This window comes from Homo sapiens, chromosome 2 (genome assembly GCF_000001405.40).
Source record: "Homo sapiens chromosome 2, GRCh38.p14 Primary Assembly".
In the NCBI taxonomy this organism is placed as follows: Eukaryota; Metazoa; Chordata; class Mammalia; order Primates; family Hominidae; genus Homo; species Homo sapiens.
The window spans coordinates 219,790,101-219,814,179 of NC_000002.12; the positions used below are offsets into that span (position 1 = coordinate 219,790,101).

Genomic DNA, 24,079 nt, shown 5'->3' on the forward strand with positions numbered 1-24,079 from the left:
GCTGAGGTATGAGAATCACTTGAACCCAGAAGACGGAGGTTGCAGTGAGCTGAGATTGCACCACTGCACTCCAGTCTGGGTGACAGAGTGAGACTCCATTTAAAAAAAAAAAAAAAGAAAAATCTTTGGATTGGCCATTTGATTCTGAAAGGACAGGGCGAAGGCGGGTTGGGAGCAGCACCCAGCTGTTCTGCCTGTTCCTTGTCAAGGTGGAAAGATGGCATTTATGATAAGACATACACAGGTTTGAATCCCAGCTCTGTGTAACTTTGGGCCAGTCATTTAACATTTCTGAGCTTATTTATCATAAGGGAACAAAAATAGAGTTTATCTCTCAGGTTTGTGTGAAGATAAAATGAATTAAAGTCTATAAAGCACTTAGCATAGGGCCTGGCATATGGCAAGCTTGCAATCTCTATAGTTATGAGTTATTACTATTATTACCATTATTATATTTCTAGGATATAGGAGAATTAAGTGAAATAATGTGTGTGAAGTGCTTAGAATACTGGCTAGCAAAATCTCTTTCATGATCCAGTGGAAGATCCCATGATACTCAATCCTCCTCGGACCCAGGTCTGTGATCCAGTCTTATCCGCAATGTCAGACAGGTACAGATGTGCATCTGAAGCTGGAACTGATAACAGGGACACCTGAAGAGACTAGGTCATGTGGCCGTTGGGTGTGAAGGCTGAGGGTGATAAATGGTGGGATTTTAACACAGCAGTATCATTGCATAGAGCTGACTGTGATTACAGCGGTCATCTCCTTAGCGGTTTGAGCAGGAAGACGTGATTATTGGTGTGGTACGAGATGCAATATTTAGAAAGAATCTAGTGATAGTGATAATGAAGGCTGTTAGATTAATTTGCCAAGAAAGTAAGGAATTCCTAGGAAATGGAATTATTTTGCCTCAAACAACAGAGGCTAGGAGACGCTGAGGAGTATTTTGTGATGATGCTGAGTAGTTTAGAGATTTTATCCTCAGCAAGTTTCCCATCAGCTATTCATTTAGAATGAACACTATTGGCTGGCTTATACACTGCTTTTGAACCACGTGTTAAATTACATGAATGGACACCTTTCTCTGTGTGTGAGTAGTTGTTAAGAGCTTGGTTTTTGAAGCCAAAATGACCAACGAGATTCAGATCTTGGCTCTGCCATTTATTAACAGCGACTTTGGGCAAGTGACTTCACCTGTCTGTGCCTCATCTGTAAATCAGGAACAATAATAACACCAATTCATAGCCAGCCTGGCTTGCCACAGTCCACCTACTGGTATTCACACCCACGTGTTGTTCCCTGCTATGTAGTACCAGGTATTTTTGTGTGACCCGTAGAACACAGCAGAAGTGGTGGTGTGCCACTTCTGATATTAGGTTATAAAAGATATTGCATCTTCAATTTTGTTCTCTTTCTTTCTTCTTTGTCTTTCTGTCCTTTATCTTTTTTTTCCCTCTCTCTCTCTTTCTGATCACTTGCTTTAAGGGAAGCCAGATGTCATGTGTGGCGAGGCAGCCTAGAGAGAGGTCCCTATGGTGAGAAACTGGGGCCCCGCTAACAGCCACCTAAGTGAGCTTGGAAGTGGATCCTCTAGCACCTTAGGACTGCAGCCCTGGCCAGTAGTTTGACTGTCTCCTCATGAGAGAACCTATGCCAGAATCACCAACTAAGCCTTTCCCAAATTCCTGACCCACAGAAACTGTGAACTGGTAAATCTTTGCTGTTCTAAGTGACTATATGTCAGGGTAATTTGTTACACAGCCTAGAAAACTCATATAGTACCTGTGTGGTTGTTGCTTTTTTTTTTTGTTGAAACGGAGTCTCACTCTGTTGCCAGGCTGGAGTGCAGTGGCGTGATCTTGGCTCACTGCAACCTCCACCTCCCGGGTTCAAGTGATTCTCCTGCCTCAGCCTCCCGAGTAGCTGGCATTACAGGCACCTACCACCACACCCAGCTAATTTTTGTATTTTTAGTACAGACGGGATTTCACCATGGTGGCCAGGATGGTCTTAATCTCTTGACCTCGTGATCTGCCCATCTCAGCCTCCCAAAGTGCTGGGATTACAGGCGTGAGCTGCTGTGCTTGGCCAATTGTTGCTGTTTTTAAAGCTCTGGGGCAATTTTTGCCTCATAGGAAACATCATATAATTACATGTAAATACATCCATAACTGGGAGATTAGGGTAGGGGAAGGCAGCCCTTCCCAGGTAGCCCTTGACCAGATAGTCAAGTCTTGGCTGTTCCAAAATCAAAGGCTTCTGTTTTCTTTAAGGCCATCTTGCCTGTTTTCATAAAAGTCTGAAATACGGAGGAGACCCTGATTTATATTTTCCATAGAAGAGAAGAGAGATTGAGATGGTAAGTACCAAAAAAATTAAAAGTCATTTTGGTTTTTCAATTCATTACTTCTGGAAAAAAAATTCAAGCCCATCATCATTACTAGCGCTCTGTTTTAATGCTGATGATAATTGCAAAGGCAGTATTTTAAATTAGAATGTATAAGACCACATGTAATTAACCTATACAGAAGGGCTGAGACTTCATATTAGACTATTAAATCAATCCCAGCAGAATCACTAACGCTGAGCAATTGATTTGGAAATACTGTATGGGCAGAGTAAAGAAGCGGGATGCTAATTACCATCAACGAGAATTTAGTACACTCCTCAGATGCTGTTAGAGTGGCAGGCTTTTTCTTCTGGCCCTTAACCCACTTAAAGCTGAGAATTCAAATTAGTTCAGATAGAATACTTAAAACAACCTTTACGTTGTTTAAGGCAAGAGAGGATTTTCTGAGCGTGGCAATCACAAGGGGACTCTCAGACCGTCTGGTGCGGTGACTCTCAGTGGACTCAGCTTGTGTGAGATGCTGATGAGAAGTCCCAGGAAGGGTCTGGCTGTAGTGTTTCCTCACGGCGGACATGGGTTGCCCCCTCTAACTCTGGCACTGTGTGTACCTCCCTTTACACAGCGCTCTCCATTGTCACTCATTCTCGTTTCTTGTTGTTTCTGCCCTGCAACATCCATTTTCTTTCTTTATTCTTTCTTATTTCCACTGAATCCTTCAAGCATCCAGCAAGTACCCACTGGCTATCTAACAAGAAAAAATAGCCACAATAGTTTGTGTTTATTGAGTACTAGGGCAGATAATGGAAGCTCTCTATGAGAATCTAGTCCCTGCTTCCCCTAGAGTAATGTGATTGTAACCAGACACAAGGCTAAACTATTATACATTTCTCAGACTCTCTTGCAGTGAGGTATGGCGTGTCCTCTCCATGACAATGTGAGGGAAAGTGATGTATGCCACTTCCAGGTGAGGCCTTCAAAAGAATGGATGTGTATCCTCTGATTTTTCCCCACTCTCTCTTTTTTTTTTTTGCTGATTGAAGAAAGGCCCTAGAGACACAAGATGGAGTGGGAATGGGCCCTTGAATCACCATGTAGAGTAAGGACAACGTCAACCAGGTTCACATTCCTGGGCCTATCATGCAAACAGGAAATATTTTGTTTGAGGTGTTCTACCTTTAGGGTTCATTTTTGTATCCCTTTAGCTTACCCCTATAATGTTTATATGCATTATCTCATTTTTTTCCTCCTAACAACCCTACGAAGGGTGCTATTATTTTTTTACTTTACACGAGAAGCAACAAAGGCTTAGAAGCTTAAGTAACTTACCCGAGGGCACCCAGATAGTAAATGACAGACCTGGGATATTATTTTAACTTGGCACTTGGGAAGTGATAAGGAAGTTTAAGATGTTGTCTTTGAGCTCTGGGAAACTTCAGGTTATAAATGGACATCTTTGATCAAGAACAATTAGAGAACCATAAGATACTGATTGTTTATAGCTGTTGTCTATTCTAATTTTAGTGCCTATGCCAGGCTATTGTTAAACGTTTTTGACTATTACACTTGCTTAAGGCAAAGCATGGTAACTGGTGTCTTCTTTTCTCTGTGACTTTTAAGGTTCTATGGAACCCTGGAATGAAGAGGATGCCAACCTTGAAAAGCTATTCTAGTTCTTTCAATGTGCCATAATGGTATAGGAGCAAATGTTTCTGCTGAGGTAAATCTTTTTTTCTTTTTTTTGGGAGGGGGTGGTGGGGCAGGGTGGAGGTAGGAGGGTGCCATGGTCTGAATGTTGGTGTCCTTCCAAAATTCACGTTTTGGAACCTAATACCCAATGTGATAGAATTAAGAGGTGGGGCCTTTTGGGAAGTGATTATGTCATGAGGGTTCTGTTCTCATAAGTGGGATTAGTGCCCTTATAAAGATGTTGAAGGGAGCTGTCTTCCCCCTTCTGCCACACAAGGACACAGCAACGAAGCACCAATTTTCACTGAGGTTCCTCACCAAACACTGAATCCGCAAGTGCCTTGATATTGAACTTTCCAGCCTCCAGAACTATAAGAAATAAATTTCTGTTATTTATGAATTACCCAGTCTCAGCTATTTTATTGTAGCAGCCCCAATGGGCTAAGATGGAGGGATAGTAGAGTCAGTCTTATGCTAATTATGGTTTGAGGTTACTTAGGCCTTATTAGGCTAAAGTCAAACCAGAAATGAACATGGGCACATTCCTCACAGCTCAGGTCCTGCTCCTAGTCCTGAGATGAGGGTTTGTGTGTAGTGATAATGAAGGGTGGGCTCTCAGGGGAGATAACAAAGGGAGTGGGAAGCAGGACAAGGGAGAACAAGCAGGAAGCTAAGCAGGGTGAGATTTCAGGTGATGTTTCTAGCCTCAGCCTCATCTGTGAAGTGATCTGCAGCATAAATCACCCCACAGAGTTTGTACCAACTAAGGTGAAGGTTCTGGGCTTTCATATTCCTTCACTAATCTGGTGTTGGCTATGAGTAACCCCCTGTAAGCTCCCAGGTACTTCTGGGTCTCCAAATGTTGTGATCAAAATAGCACTAGAAACCCATGGGCTGTCACCTGCAGGGGCAGCCAACCAAAGCACATGGGAGCTGGGGAGGAGCACACAGAACCTACATGACATCTGAGGGGATCTGGGTGAGGCACTGGCAGGTGCTATTATAGGAGGAGAGCCCTTGTCCATAGAAGCTTGGGGCCCATCTAATTTATCTCTTGACTAATATCCCCCTCTTTTCTGTGCCTATCTGTGCTTCAGTCAAAGGCATTGCTGTACTATTATCTACTTATATCTTCCCTTTTATCCTTTTATACTTTTAGTCTGTTTGCTTGGAATGACTCCCCCATCCCCCTCTTCTCTAACTCAAAGACTGTGCATCTTTTCTTTGCCTGTTTGTAGGTCAACTTTGCAAGAATGCCCCCTTTTTTATACCTCCTCAGTCAGAGGCATCTTCCCATCTGTACTCCTCAGAAATTTGTGCATTCTAGTGGCATCACTATCTACTGCAATGCAGTGACTACATGCTCCCTGCCCTCCCTCTTATCATTCACACAGCAATAAGTTTCATAGGAACATGAGAAACTAGAAAGTAGATGGCAATGGATGGTGGAAATCTCTGAGAGAGAGCTGAGCACCCTGGATTGCTAGCCTTTGTAGTACCTTGGTACAAATTAGGCAAAACAACCTCTCTGCATGGATGTTGCTCTGAGCCAGGTGCATGACTAGACAAGGGCACACAACTTGGCTGGTTGCCTTTGTGCAGTGTACAACCTTTACAACTGTACACTGTGGTGCTACCTGGTACATTCCTCCTTGAGCTGGGTCCAGGGAGGGGATCAGGGATATATGCGATTGAATTGTAGAAGAAAGGAACTGTTGCCTGGTTCCCAGACATGGCCAGGAGATTTTTAGATAGTACACAGGAGGAAGGGTGGCATTGACTAAGAAAGATGCAACCCAGGCCAGCTCTGTCCTCAGCATTGGTGCAATCACTTCTGATAGCACTGTAGCAGATTTAAAAGCTTGCCACAAACTCTTTGATGCTTCTCAAATTGAGACATGGACACATTCCTCTCCCCTTGAATCTCAGTGGCTTCAGCGACCCATTTGTAGCCATCAGATTGCAGTGAAAGTGGCAAACATGACTTCTGAGGTTAGGTAAGAAGAGGCTGTATATCTTCTGCTTTTGTTTCGTGAAACACTTACTCTTGGGAAGCTTCATTTCAGAACCCAGCTACCATGCTGTGAGAAATCCAAACCACATAGAGGGGCCATGTGTAGGTGCTTGCTGCAGGCAATGGCCCCAGCTGAGCTCCCAGCCAACAGCCAGCACCAACTGCCAGCCATGGGAGTACACCATCTTAGATATCCAGCCCAGTTGGGCCTTCTGATGACTGCAGCCCCAGCTACCATCTGACTGCAACTGATGAAAAGTCTTGAGCTGATCCTTTCCCCAATTCATGATCCACAAGATCATGAGCAAAAGATCTTACTGGTTGTTTTAAGCCACTAAGTTTTGGGGGGTTTGTTATGCAGAATAGGTGCTTAAAGTTGCCTTTTTGCAAACCTTTGCATCAATAAGTTAAAATCTGAGCCTTGATTTAGGATTTTAGGGGGATAGAGAGAATCCGCTTTATGCTGCTTTGATTGAAGGCTTACTTAGGACTAATTAATTTGGGAAAATGATGCACTCAACATGAGGAGTTTAGCGTGAAAATCTCAGGTCATAATAAAATGTTACTTTACTTTGCCAATAGTGTTTTGTGTTGAGGTCTGGATAGAGAGAATATACATTTTCAACAAAGCTCCCCAAAGTTTCCTCACTGGTTTCCCCATGTTTTTGCCTAGACGTTTTCTTGTTTATATTTTTTGTGGCATTTCACAAATACTTGGGGCTGGGAAGGCTCAGATGTAATGGGTTAAATTCAGAGGTCACTTGCTTGCATTTTCAATAAGAACAGCAGCTCTTTAAATAAGATTTAAAATGCTTTTCAGTTATTTGCAGTTGGTTAAAGCCATCTGAGGAATGTTGTATAGCAATGCCATGTTAAAGAGAAAAAGTAAGTAAAGAAAAATAATTCCTAGATTCTTTAATAGAGTCTGACGTTATTGTTTTTAAAAATTCTTGGCCAAGATACTGCTGGGTTGTGCTACATGGAGTTGGTGCCATATTAATTTATCAACCAGAAACCTTCCATGGAATTTGGAGATTTGGAGAAAGACAAAAGAGAATCCCATCTGAAGCCTTTAGTTGGCTCAAAGTTGCCAAAATATTTGGGGTTTGAAGTTGAGTAATTTCACTTTCTTCCTTCATTTGTTGGAGACTGATAACTAAAAGTGGGATTTAAGGATTCAAAGAGATTATTACCCAAACAGAATTTCCATCCAGCTTTTTACAAACAAGCACGCTTCAGGAAATTAATGAAACCTGTTGAATCTTAATATTCTGTGGGCCCATAGATTTATTTGGAATAGTTCTCACATCGGAGGCATGGTTATTACCATGTTCTAACTGGCTGCTAAATTAGGTAGCTTGTTGATAGCTGGATGATTTAACATGTCCTCTGTTGGGGTGTCCACTGGTCACTGCAGATCCAGTATTTGGGCTTAGAGACATGAGTCTGATTCAGAGCTTGTCTCAAATAGATTCATTGAGCCCCATTCTTCAATTTCCAGGTTGCACTGTGGTTTTACACATGTTTCAGAAGACCAGTCCTCCTGCATATTAATCCATGCATGTGGGAATGAAGCAGGGAAGTAGGATGTAAACACAAAGTTCCTTTTTTTTTTTGAGTTCTTTAGCTCCCCAGGGCAGCTGGGGGTACAGGTAACAAGCTGATTTAATGAGTTTGTTTTCTAACCCTTTTAATAATCAATTGATGCCTTTTTTTCCTTTAATCTTTCATGTTTTCTTCCCTTCTTCCCATCCCACTGGGTCAGTCTCACGGAGGTCTGGCTTTAAGAATGGACACTTAGACCAGGCACGGTGGCTCACACCTGTATTCCCAGCACTTTGGGAGGCAGAAGCGGGCGCATCACTTGAGGTCAGAAGTTTGAAACCAGCCTGTCCAACGTGGTAAAACTCCTTCTCTACTAAAAATACAAAAATTAGCCAGCCATGATGGTGCACGCCTGTTGTCCCAGCTAATTGGGAGGCTGAGGCAGGAGAATTGCTTGAACCTGGGAGGTGGAGGTTGCAGTGAGCCAAGATTGTGCCATTACATTCTAGCCTGGGTGACAGAGTGAGACTCTGTCTCAAAAAAAAAAAAAAAAAAAAAAAAGACACTTAGATATCCTTTGTGCAAATTATACTTTACAGCCTTGAGCTTAAAGGATAAAGCAAAAGAGACGGGCTGACATCAGGTTGGGTTCCACCATAAGAGAGGTAATCAGATGGTGATGAGGGTTACCAGCCTATCCACGTGGAGATGCCACAAGCTGGCAGAAGCTCTGAAGCTGGGCTTTCCCAGATTCCTGGGCTCTCATCAACATTTCTATGAAATTCTAGCCTTGCAAAAACTTTCTTTAGCAAACTATGTTACCCGGGATTTATTATTATGACTCTGGGTACCCATGCTATGTGAAGAGTGCCATATTCTTGCATTAGTCATAGGTTATGCTGTAAGTATTAATAGAAGGCACATATGCCAGGTAGCATTGTGATTACATAATGATGTTTGGTCTGTTAGCACACCCAATTATTTACTCATGTTGGCACGAAACTGGGAGGACTGTGCCCCATAGGCCTGGCATTGGCATACCACACAGTCCTATCTTCTCCTACCCAGTTGTCAGCATCTTCTCTGGAGAAGAATCTTTATTGTTTTTTCATGAAATTAACAACATTCATGAAGAACCTATTATGCCCCAGGCACCATGCTGGGCATAGGTGAAGGATGGGTGAGCAAGATGAATGTAATCTCTTTCCTCAAGGAGTTTAGAGTTGAGGGGAGAGTAGATACTTACACCCAGAGTGTGGCCCAGCACAGAGGGGTATGAAGGACATGCACAAGTAGCTGTGATCAAGATTCACAGGCCTCTCTGAGCCGGTGGCATTTAACCTCCAGCCTGAAGGATAAGAAGGTTCTGTCTTTGAGAGAAGGCAGCGTGGGAAGAAGCAGAAGACAATCTCAGTGAGGAGTGGTTTACGCTTCACAGTGAATGGTCTGAGGGAGGTTTATGACATCTCCTTGGTGGATTGACCACCTGAGTCTTGGCTCTCATAGGGGGACGAAAGGCTGTGTCTCATCTGAAGAGATTTCCAGGCCCAGTGGAGTTGGGGAAGACTTTTTTTTGGTGGCCGAGGGCACTTGCTCTCATCTTTACAGGCAGGTTGAACTTGGGGTAGTCTCCCAGGAGTTCTTCAAGTATAGCCCAGGTTCCCAAATGCCAGCTTTTTTTCAATGTAGGCTGACTGTGATTCTGTAGGAGAAAAGAGCCAAGAAGCTTTGGGGCCAACAGGTCTGTGCAGGACACTGAGGCTGGAGGGGCTCCCCCTGGGGCCATTCTGCCATCCCAGAGCTTGGTGGAAGGGGGTGTAGGCCTCAAGCCTGTAGAGAACCCTGAGGAAGCAGGGCTTTCTAACCCCATTGCTGGCTCTGGTCTCACTAAAACCACCTATTCCTTTTCCTTGAGTCCCATATATGAAGGTGGGGCAAGCCACCCCACCACCAAGAAAAAGGGGTGTGGCCCATGTGCACACACATGCGTGCATGCACACCCATTAATCCAGCCATGGTGGGACAGAGATATTGCCTACAAACTCTCTAAGCTCATTTAAAATTAAGAAAATTCCTCAAAGTCTTATTTATCTATTAGAAGGTCAGTTTCATTCAGAGTTGCTCTATGTCAAGGTTATTTACATAGAATTTGCTGGAGGATAATGCTTTTTCTTCTCAAGAGCTTTTGACACAACTCGGCATCCATCTTCTTGGAATCTGGTTCTGGGCTCTGTGCCTCATGTCCTGATTACGGTGGCCTTTCACCCATGGCTCACCCAAATCCCTCATGTCCTGGGTTAAGCAAGTTTTTGCTTGTCAGTCTATCAACTGGGGACTCACAGGAGATCTTATTGTAAATAATGTCAGATGAGATTTAGGGAGTCTCACCATCTATAAATCAATGCCTGGAGGCTTTGGGATTATTCCTTCTTGTTTTTTTTTTCTCTTGGAATTAGGCAGTTTAGTCCCTGTGGGTATGGTTTAGCAAGGTCTCAAAGTCAGAATTTATTGAAAATAATTGCCATCACAAGCCCAGACTTTCTTGAATATCTCTATTAGTATAAAATGTAGTATTTTCCCTCTCCAGTAAATAAACACACCATCCAGTTCTCCTTTCCACCCCAGTTTGGGAAAGAAGAAAGTGTTACAGCCCTGGATTGGGATCATGTTTGTTTGTCACCGCAAGTTCCTGAGATGCATGGAGTCATGGTTTAACTTCACAGGATGTGCTGAGCACCTCCTCTGTGCCATGCCCTGTGCTATGCATGGGGTGTGTAATGCTGTTCAAGATACAGCATCTACCTTGGGGAAACTAAGGTTTGCCTTCAGTGACACACAGGCAGAGAATTAATCATAGAATGAAATGACAAGGGCTATAAGGGAGATACTTAAATATTAGTTATATATACTCTAGGAATGAAAAGGTAGAAGAGGAAATCCTTCTGCTGGTTGGGGTGGTGGAGATGAGGCCGGTAGGGGAGGGATTTTGGCTTTTAAAGGATATTTGGCAATGTCTGGAGACATTTTTGGTTATTTCAACTAGGGGAATCGAATTTGTTACTGGCATCTAGAGGCCAGGGATGCTGCTCAATAACCTGAAATGCGTGCGCAGCCTCCTACAAGAAAAACTTACATGGTCCCAAATGTCATGAATGTCAAGGTTGAGAAAGAGTGCTATAGGATGATGGTTGAGTTGAACCTTGAAGATGACTGGAGTCTGCTAGGCAGCAACTTGGGAAGGCCATTTTGCTCAAACGCTTCATTCCACCACTAGCTTTGTGGACCAGAGAGGAAACAACACCAAGAAGAGATGATGCTCTGGTTTGGAGGTTCAGCTCACAGTGATGGTGTTCCTGAGTGGTTCAGAGTTGGATTCTGAAGAGGATGGGTGGCCAGTGTGCCAGGAAAGGTATACAAGAAAGAGCAGAGAAGACATCTCCCATAATAAGTAAATTAATTTGAGCCTGTGGCTTGCAACAGTATATGAAGTGGCCAGATCATTACATATGAACACTGAGAGGTAGAGACTTAGGTGCCAGTCATTAAACCTGTTCTACCCCAAAATCTGGAATGGAAGGACTAAGCTGTACCATTGACTCTGCAAAAAATATCTTTGGATTACTATCAGAAAATGTTCTTAAGTGAAGTGCAACATTATCTAAATGGACCCTCTCAATAACCCTGTGAGTTTGGCTGATAAAGGCAATAGCACATTGAAGTATAATAGTACAATGAAGGAAACAAACCCAGGGCAACTGAGGGTGCTGCTCTGTCCAGAAGTGTTACTGATTGGGAGGGTAGAAGGTCAGAGTCCTGGTCTGGCTGGTGGACCAAGTTGAGCTCTTTGCTGGGATTGTCTCTAGTCCTGGGCCAGTCCTGCCGTTTATCCACTGGACTGTTCCTCTCACCCAAGCTGGCTTTTATTTGTTATTTTTCTGTTTTCCCCCACATCTTAGTTTTCTGCTGTTATAACTGAATACATGAGACTGGGTAATTTATAAACAATAGAAGCTTATTTAGCTTAAGGTTCTGGAGGCTGGGAAGTCCAAGAATGAGGGGCTGCTTCTTGTAAGGGCTTTCTTGCTGCATCATAACCTGGAGGAAGACATCACCTGGTGAACATATGAGATCAGGAGAGGAAATCAGGCAAAACTCATCTTTTTTATCAGGACCCCACTCCTGAGATAACTAACCCACTCCCTCAAAAATGGCATTAATCCATTTGTGAAGGTGGAGCTCTTATGACCTAATCGCCTCTTAAAGGTCCTATTTTTGAATACTGTCACAATGGCCATTACATTTCAACATGAGTTTTGGAGGACACATTCAAACCATAGCACCCCAACATTCATTAATCGTCACAATAAGAACATTATAAAGTGTAAGGAGAAGCAGATCTCCCACAATACCTCTCCCTAGGACAGTTGTTTGGTTTTATTTCCTGCTATTATCCACACAGATCCATAGTGACAAAAATAATGTAATTGCCATTGAGTTCTTTTTCACATAATAGGATGTGCTTGTTCATGTTCTCACATAGACCCCCATGAATCATTTCAGTGAACCCATATCATCCATCAAGGTCATGTGCCATCACTTACCTATCAATTCTCCTTTTGGTCACTGTGGAGGTTTTCAGAGTTTCAGTATCACAAATAACATTGTAGTGAGCGTCTTTGTATAAATAGATTTTTTTGCTTCCTTTCAAAGGTTTCTTTAGGATACATTTCCAACAGCGGGATTAATGTGTCAAAGGGTATGAATATCTTCATGGATCCATATATATATTGTCAAATTGCTTTCCAGCAGAGTGTAGCAATTTATATACCTGACATGAATAAATGAATGTAGCAGGCTGGCAAAATATTGCCAGCATTGGATGTTATTATTTTATTTTCAAACTTCTTTTGGTGGTTTAATAAGTATAAAATGATACCAATTACACATAGGTAACATGCCTAACAATGTGCTTGGCACTAGTTGTTTTTGCTAATGTTTCCCTGCAGCTTATGATACCTGTCCTGATCCTTGGACTACACCCTAGACTTTCTGTGTGTCTTACATGGCTCCCAGCCTGACCTTGATTGCCATCAATCTCCAGTGAGCACTTGGCCTTGGCTTGACCCAGTTTAATGATGACATTGAGTGTCTAGATTTAGCCCGCAAATAAGTAGCATCGTGGGTTAAAGGATGCCCATATTTATCTCGTGGCTCCCCAGTTTATAAGCTGTGTCACCTTTGGTAAATTACTTCATTTCTCTAAACCTGGGATTAATTGAGATTGTGTATGTTAAGCAAGTAACACTGTGCCTGATACACAGTAAGTCATGTTAGTCTTAATAATAGTAATAGTAATAATAATAATCTATTTTAATAACTCACAACCTTTGAGATAGGTGCTGACATTATCCTCATTTTAAAGGTGGACAACTGAGGCTCCAAGAGGTTAAGCACTTTGCCCAGTATGTGCAGTCTAATGCAGTGTGACTTCTGCCCTCTGCCCCCAGTTTTGCCGCATGGGTGAGTGGTCCCAGTGAGTAGCAGGTGTATTCATGAAAACCATTTCTGTACCAGGACAGCCAGCGCTAACTTACCTATACACGAAAGTGACTACAGATTGCATACATATAGCCCTCCAAACTCAAACTAAAAATGAATCCTTATCTAGATTCCCAAAATTCTAGCAGCCACTCCAGTACTCTGCAGTCTGAGGGGAAGTAAGCTGGAGGAAAAGTTACAATGGAAAGAGAGGTGAGTCATAACCAATTGTGGTTAAAATGTCTTGCTGCTAAAAAACTTACAAAAACCTATGATCATGTGAACTTATTTCTTGGGGCCCTGAAGCTGGAGCCTCATTAGCTTCATGGTAAACTGGACACTGGCCTGAACTCATGACTAGCAGTCAACCAGGAATGGGATGGCTTAGTTACTTTTGATTGCTTGTTGCTTTTTTTCTGAATTAAAACTTCGTTATTAGCATAGTTCAGTCTGAGAGTTACTGCCAGGGTGGAATTACTCTAATTAAGAGGAAAAGAAAAATATGTTGCTAGTCATTAATTTTTCTTGATTAGAGGGTGACCCAGTTTGAGGTTAAACGAAGAGGACTGAGGTAGTAATTTAGCACTCTGGGAGGTTTGCGGAGATTTTTGTGAGCTGAGAAGCAACAGCTGGATCCTGGGATTGCCACCTGATTTGAATTCGTAACTAGTTGTAAAAAGATGTGTAAGAAATCTTCAGGAATGTCGTGCTCATTTTTAAAATGAACGAAAACAACGATGGGATCGGGGCACATCGGAGCACAGCACTATAATTTAAATGCTACCAGTGCTGCATCTGTGTCTCAATAAATGTATGAAAGCTTTTTCTGTCTTAAATGTGAAAATATTATATTATGTAGATTTGAGGATCCTGGCTTTGACTTGTCAAATTCTGGGGTAGCAAGAAACTTTACCTTTGGCATATGCCCGTAACACTGAATATCTATTAAAATAGGTACAATATTTCACTCACTTAAGTACACATTATTTGAGGTTTCTGTGATGAAAGCAAAGCACCCTTTAGTGCAAAGAGCACAGACTTGGAGCCAGAAGACCAGAATGTGAGTCCTGCCTTTGCTAGCCCAGTGACTTTGAGGTAATCTTTTTGAGCCTCTGAACTAGTTTCCATATCGTAAATTGTAAGTATCATCACTCATATATTATACACCTAGTTTAATAAAACATATGGAAAAGTAAAGTGATACACAAATGTTATTATGATATCATTGAGTTCTCATATCACTGTTAAGTTGGGACTTTAGATAGTATCTTTGAGGAGGGCAGGGGAGGAAAGAGTGAAAACCTTGGAAAACCTTGGGTTGGCTTCAAGGTTATAGGGGACCATTCTTTTTTTTTTTTTTTGAGATGGAGTTTCACTCTTGTTACCCAGGCTGGAGTGCAATGGTGCAATCTCGGCTCACCACAACCTCCATCTGCCTCGTGGGTTCAAGTGATTCTCCTGCCTCAGCCTCCTGAGTACAGGCATGTGCCCCACGCCCAGCTAATTTTGTATTTTTAGTAGAGACGGGGTTTCTCCATATTGGTCAGGCTGGTCTCGAACTCCCGACCTCAGGTGATCTGCCTGCCTCGGCCACCCAAAGTTCTGGAATTACAAGCATGAGCCACCACACATGACCTTTTTTTTTTAAAGAAAAGTTTTATTGAAATATAATTGACAAAAATATATATTCAAGGTGTACAATATAATGTTTTGATATACATATATACTGTGAAATGATATTCATAATGAAGCTAATTGACATATTCATATACTTAAGATCTACTGCCTTAGGGAATTTCAAGTATTTAATACAGTATTATTAACTATAGTCGCCATGCTGTACATTAGGTATCCAGAAGTTACTCAGCTCATAACTGCAACTTTCTACCCTTTGACAAACATTTCCCTTACCCTGCAACCCTTGGTAACAACCATTCTATTCTCTGCCTCTATGGGTCAACTTTTTTAGATTCCACATATAAGTGAGATCATGCAATATTTGTCTTTCTGTGTTTGGCTTATTTCACTTAGCATAATGTCCTCCAGGTTTATACATATTGTCACAAATGGCAAGATTTACTTCTTTTGAAAGGCTGAATCGTATTTTGTTTATAATATATATATTATATATACATGTATATGTATGTGTGCATATGTATGTATACACATATGTATGTATATGTATATGTATGTATGGATGAATACAGAATATATATATATATATATATAGCAATTTCTGTATTCATCCATTCATTGACGAACAATTAGGTTGTTTCCATATCTTATAATGCTGCAGCAAATATGGGAGTGCAGTTATCCCCTCGACATACTATTTCATTTGCTTTGGATATCATACCCAGAAGTGAAATTGGTGGATTATATGATAGTACTATTTTTAATTTTTTGAGGAACATTCTTACTGTTTTCCATAGTGGCTGCACCAATTTACATTCTCACGAACAGTGCACAGGGGTTCTCTTTTCTCTATATCATCACCAATACTTGTTATCTTTTGACTTTTTGATAATAGCTCTTCTTTTTATTATATTTTTTTTTTTTATTTTTCATTTTTGTGGATATGTAGTAGGTATATACGTTTGTGGGGTACATGAGATGTTCTGATACAGGCATGCCATGCATAATAGTTACATTATGAAAAATGGAGTATCCATCCCCTCAAGTATTTACCAAGTTGTATAGTTTGTATCCCCTTTGTGTTACAAACAATCCAATTACACTTTTATTTAAAAATATACAATTAAATTATTACTGACGATAGTCACCATCTTGTGCTATCAAGTACTAGGTCTTATTCATTCTTCCTATATTTTTTGTACCCTTTAACCATACCCACCTCTTTCCCACTTCCCACTACCCTTCTCAGCCTCTGGTAACCATCCTTCTATCTTCTGTCTTCATGAGTGACATCAGTTGTTTTGATTTTTAGATCCTACAAATAAGTGAGATCATGCGATGTTTGTCTTTTGGTGCCTGGCTTATTTCACTTAGCCTAATGACCTCCAGTTTCATCCATGTTGTTGCAAATGATAGGATCACATTCTTTTTTATGGCTGAATAGTACTCCACTGTGCATATGTACCATGTTTTCTTTATTCATTCATCTGTTAGGTTGCTTCCAAATCTTGGCTATTATGAATAGTGCTGCAATAAAGATGGTAGTGCAGATATCTCTTCTTTGATAATAGCTATTTTAATGGGTGTGAGGTGATATAGTTTTAACTTGCATTTCCCTGATGAGTGGTGATGTCGAACATTTTTTCATATATTTGTTGGCTGTTTGTATATCCTCTTTGAAAAATGTCCATTTGGATCCTTTGCCCTTTTAAAAATTGGTTTGTTTATTTACTTATTTTTGCTCTTGAGTTGTGAGTTCCTTATGTATTTTGGATATTAAGCCCTTATTGGATATACAGTCTGCAAGTATTTTCTCCCATTTCATGAGGTGCTTCTCATTTGGTTGATGGTTTCCTTTGCTGTGCAGAAATATTGTAGTTTGATGTAGTCTCCTGTGTTTATTTTTGCTTTTGTTGTTTGTACTTTTGGTGTCATATCCAAAAATATCATTGCCAAGACCAATATCATGAAGCTTTTTTCACTTTTGTTTTCTTCTAGAAGTTTTGTAGTTTTAGGTATTATGTTTAAATCTTTAATTCATTTCAAGTTGATTTTTGTGTATAGTATAAGGACCCAATTTCCCTTTTTTTGGCATGTGAATATTCAGTTTCCCAACACTATTTATTGAAGAGACTATCCTTTCCCTGTTGTGTATTCATGGTACCTTTGTCAAAGATTAGAACACTGGGTGTGAATGGGTTTATTTCTGTCCCATTGGTTTATGTTAGTATCATATTGTTTTGATTACTATAGATTTGTAATATAATTTAAAATAAGGAAGTATGATGCCTCAAATTGCTTTAGCTATTAAGTGTCTTTTGTTAGTTCCAAATGAACTTCATGATTGGTTTTCTGTTTCTGTGCAAAACACCGCAGAAATTTTGATCTGTAGATTGCTTTGGGTAGTATGGACTTTTTGACAATATTGATTCTTCCAATCTACAAACATAGAATACCTTTCCATTTCTTTGTGTCTTCTTCAATTTCTTTCCTCAATGTTTTTCTTTATAGTTTTCATGTACAGATCTGTCACGTGCTTGTTTAAATTTTTTTTCCCAGGAATTTAATTTTTTGACGCTATTATAAGTGAGACTATTTCCTTAATTTCTTTTTTGGATTGTTTGTTTTTAATGTATTGAAATGCAACTGGTTTTAGTACGTTGGTTTTATACTTTGCAAGTTTACTGAATTCATTTATTTAAATTGTTTTTTGGTGGAGTCTTTAGGGTTTTATATATATAAAAGATCGTGCCATATGTAAACAGAGACAGTTTTACTTTTTCCTTTCCAATTTGGGTCTTTTATTCCTTTTTCTTGCCTAATTGCTCTGGCTAGGAGTTCTAGCACTACACTGAGTAGAAATGGCAAGAGTGTGCATTCTTGTTATGTTCCTGATCTTAGAGGAAAAGCTTCCAACTTTTTATTATTGAATATAACGTTAGCTATGGGCTTGTCTTATATGATCTTTATTGTGTTGAGGTACATTGCTTCTATAACTAGTTTGTTGAGAATTCTTATCATGAAAGGATTTTGAATTTTGTCAAGTGCTTTTTCTGTATCTATTGAGGTGATTGTATCATTTTCATTCTTCATTCTGTTCATGTAGTATATCACATATTTTGATTGGCATATATAGAATTATCCTTTCATCTCACCTGGTGATTTTGAATGATCCTTTTAGTGTGCTGTTAAATTCAGTTTGCTAGTATTTTGTTTAGAACTTTTGCATCTATTTTCCTCAGGGATATTGACCTGTAATTTTATTATTATTTTTAGTGTCCATATCTGGATCTGGTATTAGAGTAATCTGGTCTCCAAAATGAGTCTGCAAGTATTCCATGCTCTTCAGTTTTTTGACAGAGTTAGAGAGGTTGATATTAATTCTTTAAATGTTTAGTAGAATTAATCAGTGAAGCCATCAGGTCCTGGGCTTTTCTTTCTTTGCTTAAAAATTTTAAAAAAAGGCCAGGCACAGTGGCTTACGCCTGTAATCCCACCACTTTGGGAGGCCGAGGCAGGCAGATCACGAGATCAGGAGATTGAGATCATCCTGGCTAACACGGTGAAACCCTGTCTCTACTAAAAATACAAAAAATTAGCCAGGTGTGGTGGCAGGTGCCTGTAGTCCCAGCTACTCGGGAGGCTGAGGCAGGAGAATGGTGTGAACCCAGGAGGCAGAGCTTGCAGTGAGCTGAGATAGCGCCACTGCACTCCAGCCTGGGCAACAGAGCGAGACTGTGCCTCAAAAAAAATTAAAAAAAAATTATTGATACATAATTGTACATATTTGGGGGTACATGGTGATATTGCAATACATATAATGTATAGTGATCAGATTGGGGGTAATTAGTATATCCATCATCTAAAACATTTTTCATTTATTTGCTAAATATCCTCTAACATTCAATCTCCTCTATCTAGCTATTTGAAACACGTATTATTGTTAACTATCATCATCCTATAGTGTTATAACACATTAAAATGAGATTTTCTTTGATGGAAAATTTTTGAATACTGATTCAGTCTCCTTGCTCATTATTGTTCTGTTCAGATTTTCTCTTTCTCCATGATTCAGTCTTGGTAGTTTGTGTATTTCTAGGAGCTGATCTCTTTTTTTCTAAGTTATCCAATTTGTAGATATATAAGCATTCATAGTAGTCTCTTATGATCCTTTGCACTTCTGTGCTATCAGTTACAATGCTACCTCTTTCATTTCTGATTTTATTTGAGTCTTCTCTATTTTTTCTTAGTCTTGCTAAAGATTTGTCAATTTTATTTATCTTTAAAAAACTCTCAGTTTCATTGATCTTTTCTGTTGTTTTTTACTCTCTATTTTATTTATTTTTGCTGTGATCTTTGTTATTTTCTCCCTTCTACTAACTTTGGGCTTAGTTCTTTTTTTTTTTTTAGTTCATTGAGCATAACATTATTAGGTTGTTTGAGATCTTTACTCTTTTTAATGCAGGCATTTTCACTATAAATTTCCTTTGTAGAACTTTTTTTGCTGGGGGCATGGTGATATGTGTCTGTAGTCTCAGCTACTCAGGAGACTGAGACAGGAGGGTTGCTGGAGCCCAGGAGTTCAAGTACAGCTTGCACAACATAGTGAAACCCAGTATCTAATTTTTTTACAAGTCCTCTTTAGGAAAAAAGCCTGGAGAACTGTTTTGCTGGATCACATAAGTTTTAGTATGTTGTGTCTCCATTTTTATTTGTCTCAGGATACTTTTAAATTTCCCTTTTGATTTCTTCTTTGACCCATTGGTTGTTCAGGAGTATGTTAATTTCCACATATTGGTGAATTTTCCAGGTTTTCTCCTGTTAATGATTTCTAGTTTCATATAATTGTGGTCAGAAAAGATACTTGATATAATTTAAATCTAAAACATGTTTGGACTTGTTTTGTGGCCTAGCAAATAATCTATCCTGGAGAATATTCATGTGTACTTTAGAAGAATGTGCATTTTGCTGCTGTTGGATGGAACGCTTTGTATATGTCTGTTCCATCCATTTTATCTATAGTGTTGTTCACATCCTGTATTTCCTTATTGATTTTTTGTCCAGATGATTCATTGATTGTTGAAAATGGGATACTGTACTTCCCTACAATTATTGTATTGCTGCTTATCTCTCCCTTCCTATCTATTAATATTTGCTTCAGCTAGTTAGGTGCTGCAATGTTGAATGCATATATATTTCCAATTGTTATGTCCTCTTGATGAATTGACTCCTTTATAATTATATAATGACCTTCCTTGTCTCTTTTTCGTTTTTGAATTAGTCAAGTTTGTGTAAGTATAGCTACCTCTGCCCTCTTTTGGTTTTCTTTGCATAAAGTATCATTTTTCATTCCTTTACTTTCAGTGTATGTATGTCCTTAAAGCTGAAGTGAGTCTTTTGTAGGCAGCATATAATTGTATTTTTTATATATATATATTTAACAATTCAGCCACTCTATGTCTTTTGATTGGATAATTTAATTCATTTACTTTAAAAGTAACTATTGATAGGTAATAACTTATTGTTGCCATTAAAAACTGTTTTCTGGCAGTTGTATAGATCTTTTGTTCCTTCCATCTTCTCTTATCGTATTCTGTTGTGATTTGATGATTTTCTGCACTGTTATGCTTTGATTCCCTGTACTGGTATGTTTTGATTTCTTTTTTTTTCTCTTTTGTGTATCTACTGGATTTAGCTTCGTGGTAACCATGAGACTGACATATAATACCTTATAGTTATAACTGTATTTTAAGCCGATAACAACTCAACTTTGATTGATAGAACTCTACACTTTCACTCCCCTTTTCCATATTTTATGTTTTTTATGTCACAATTTACTCTTTTTACATAATCTGTCAAATAGAAAATTATTGTCACTATAATAATTTTCAATAGTTTTGCTTTTAACTTTTATATTGGAGACATAAATGATTTACATACCACTATTACAGTATCTGAGTATTCTAAATTTTACTAAATATTTACTTTTACCAGTTAATTTAATACTTTTATATGTTTTTATGAAACATATTATATATATTTCATAAACATATGCTACTAACTAGCATGCTTTTGTTTCAGCTTGAAAAATTTCCTTAGTATTTCTTGTAAGGCATGTCTAGTGTTGATGAACTCCTTTAGTTTTTGCTTGTCTGGGAAAGTCTATTTCTCCTTCATTTCTGAAGGATAGTTTTGCTAGATAAAGTATTCTTTGTTGGCAGATTTTTTTTTTCTTTCAGGGCTTAAATTGAAAATATCATTCCAGTTTTTCCTGGCCTGCAAAGTTTCTGCTAAGAAGTCTGCTAGTAGCCTTATGGAGGATCCTTTATATGTGAGGAATTTCTTTTCTCTTGCTGTTTTCAAGATTCTGTTTGTCTTTGATGTTTGACAATTTGGTTGTAATATGCCTTGGTGAAGTCTTCTTTGGGTTGGACATTATTGGAGACCTTTGAGCTTTGTATACCTGGATGTTAATATTTTTCTTCAGGGGGAGTTTTCATCCATTATTTTTTAAAATAAGCTTTCTTTTTTTTTCTCTGTCTCTTCTCTTTCTAAAATTCCTATAGTGCAATGTTAGCTCTCTATGGTGTCTCATACATTCTGCAGGCTTTCTTCTTTCCTTTTGGTTCTTTTTTCTTTTTTATCCTCTGAATGAACATTTTAAAATGCCCTGTCTTTTCTTTCTTTTGCTCAATCAAGCCTGCTATTGATGCTGTTTGTTTTATTTTTTATTTTTATTAATTTATTCATTGTTTTTGAGACGGAACCTCACTCTGCCACCAGGCTGGAGTGCAGTGGCGAGATCTCAGCTCACTGCAACCTCTGCCCCCCGGGTTCAAGCAATTCTCCTGTCTCAGCTTTCTGAGTAGCTGGTACTACAGGCGTGCACCATCACACCCAGCTAATTTTTGTATTTTTAGTAGAGACGAGGTTTCACCATGTTGGCCAGGATGGTCTCCATTTCTTGACCTCATGATCTGCCTGCCTTGGCCTCCCAAAGTGCTGGGATTACAGGCATGAGCCACAGAGGCCACCCTATTTTTTGTTTCATTGTATGCTTTAGCTCCTGAATTTCTATTTGGTTCTTTTTAATTATTTTTTAAAAATCTCTGTTGAACTTCTAGTTTTGTTCATGTATTGTTTTCCTGATTTTTTTTGACGTTGTCTGTCAGTGTTTTCTTGTAGCTTGCTGAACTTTCCTAAAGCAATTAGTTTGAATTCTTTGTGTATTTCTGTTTCTTTGGTGTTGGTTACTGGAAAATTATTGTGTTTCTTTGGTGGTGACATGTTTCCTTAGTTTTTCATAGCTTGTTGCCTTGCACTGATGTCTGTGCATTTGATGAAGCAGTCACCTCTTCCAGATACTACGGACTAGTTTCAGTGGGGAAAGAACTTCACCAATGGGTGAATAGGAGAGCACTGGCTGGGTGGGTTTCCACTCCATATAGGTAGAGTGGCATAGTGTTCATGCAGCTCTGTCAGATGAAGTTGTGTTTGGCAAAGAGTCCAAAGACCCTCAGTGGCCAAGGCTGTGGTGGGTATCCACAGCTATAGTGAGGGTTATTGGGGTCTCCAGCATTAAAGGCTGCTGTAGATTTTTTGGTATATTTTTCTCACATTGGGAAAGTTGTGGCTGAGGGGATCCCTCTTGGCATTGAGCCTGGCTCATGGTGGGCTCATGGTATGGGAGCCCATGGTACTGGCATCTGAAGCTCTGTGCCCACAGAGCAGCCACAGAGCCAGAGTCTGGAGTGTGTGCTCATGTGGAACTGACTGTGGCTCCAGGGTCTGGAGTGTGGGCATGTGCAGAGCTACCACTCCTTCAGAGATCAGGGAAGCGGTTGCTATGGTGCTACAGTTGTTGCTATTGCATCTGCAGTGCTGGTGCTCATACAGCAGCTACAGAATCAGGGTCTGGAATGCTGGTACACATGGACTGATAGTGGCTCCAGGGTCTGAGGCCAGGCTAGCCCACAGTCATGGTGACTCTTGTGTCTGAGCTTCAGGTGTGCATGGTACAGCCATGGATTTGGGGTCTGGAATGCGGGCATGCATGGTACAGCCATGGATTTGGGGTTTGGAGTGTGGGTATGCATGGACCAACTGCAGTTCTGGGGTCTAAGGTTCAGGCAGGGTTGGGGAGTGGTGACCCCAGTTCCAGGGTGGCACAACATGGCTTTTTCTTGGTAGGAGTATGCAGCAGTGTCTCCCTATCCCAGAAGTTCTCAGTGGCGATAGCTCTTGGTTACTTCAGTGGTGAAGGCTGCCATTGTCCTCTGCAGAGCAGGCCACTGGGGACCAAGGTGGCACCTGCCATATGGCTGATATTGATAGCCCCTATCCTTCTTCTTTGTTCCTAGCTATCTCCAGATGTCTCAAGTATGTCTATCACCCCAGCGATTCTTTCTGTGTGGCAATTCTTTATTTTTTGCTCCACTGTGTTTCTGCAGGTTCTTGTTTGAAACCTTGAGCCCTCCCAGGACTATTTTCACTTGTGGACAGCTGTCTAATTTTTTTTTTTTAGGAGGATTAGGGCTGGTATCTCCTACTCTGCCATCTTGCTGACATCCTTCTCAAGGACCATTAATCTTTTTTTTTTGCCTACTTTATTTTATTTTTTATTTTCATTTTTTAAAAATTTTATTATTATTATACTTTAAGTTTGAGGGTACATGTGCACAATGTGCAGGTTTGTTACATATGTATACATGTGCCATATTGGTGTGCTGCGCCCATTAACTTGTCATTTAGCATTAGGTATATCTCCTAATGCTATCCCTCCCCCATCCCCCCACCCCACAATAGTCCCCGGTGCGTGATGTTCCCCTTCCTGTGTCCATGCATTCTCATTGTTCAATTCCCACCTATGAGTGAGAACATGCGGTGTTTGGTTTTTTGTCCTTGCGATAGTTTGCTGAGAATGATGGTTTCCAGTTTCATCCATGTCCCTACAAAGGACATGAACTCATCATTTTTTATGGCTACATAGTATTCCATGGTGTATATGTGCCACATTTTCTTAATCCAGTCTATCATTGTGGGACATTTAGGTTGGTTCCAAGTCTTTGCTATTGTGAATAGTGCTGCTATAAACATATGTGTGCATGTGTCTTTATACCAGCATGATTTATAATCCTTTGGGTATATACCCAGTAATGGGATGGCTGGGTCAAATGGTATTTCTAGTTCTAGATCCCTGAGGAATCGCCACACTGACTTCCACAATGGTTGAACTAGTTTACAGTCCCACCAACAGTGTAAAAGTGTTCCTATTTCTCCACATCCTCTCCAGCACCTGTTGTTTCCTG

General features: G+C 40.0%; 1 long non-coding RNA gene across 1 annotated transcript; it reads left to right on the plus strand.

Annotated features, from left to right (window-relative positions):
* Window positions 1-1,493: 1,493 nt before the first annotated feature.
* Window positions 1,494-4,442, plus strand: LOC105373888 (uncharacterized). The gene is made up of 5 exons (XR_923924.3): window positions 1,494-1,712; window positions 2,277-2,362; window positions 3,246-3,317; window positions 3,971-4,070; window positions 4,317-4,442. It is a non-coding gene; the product is annotated as an uncharacterized LOC105373888 (long non-coding RNA).
* Window positions 4,443-24,079: the final 19,637 nt, after the last annotated feature.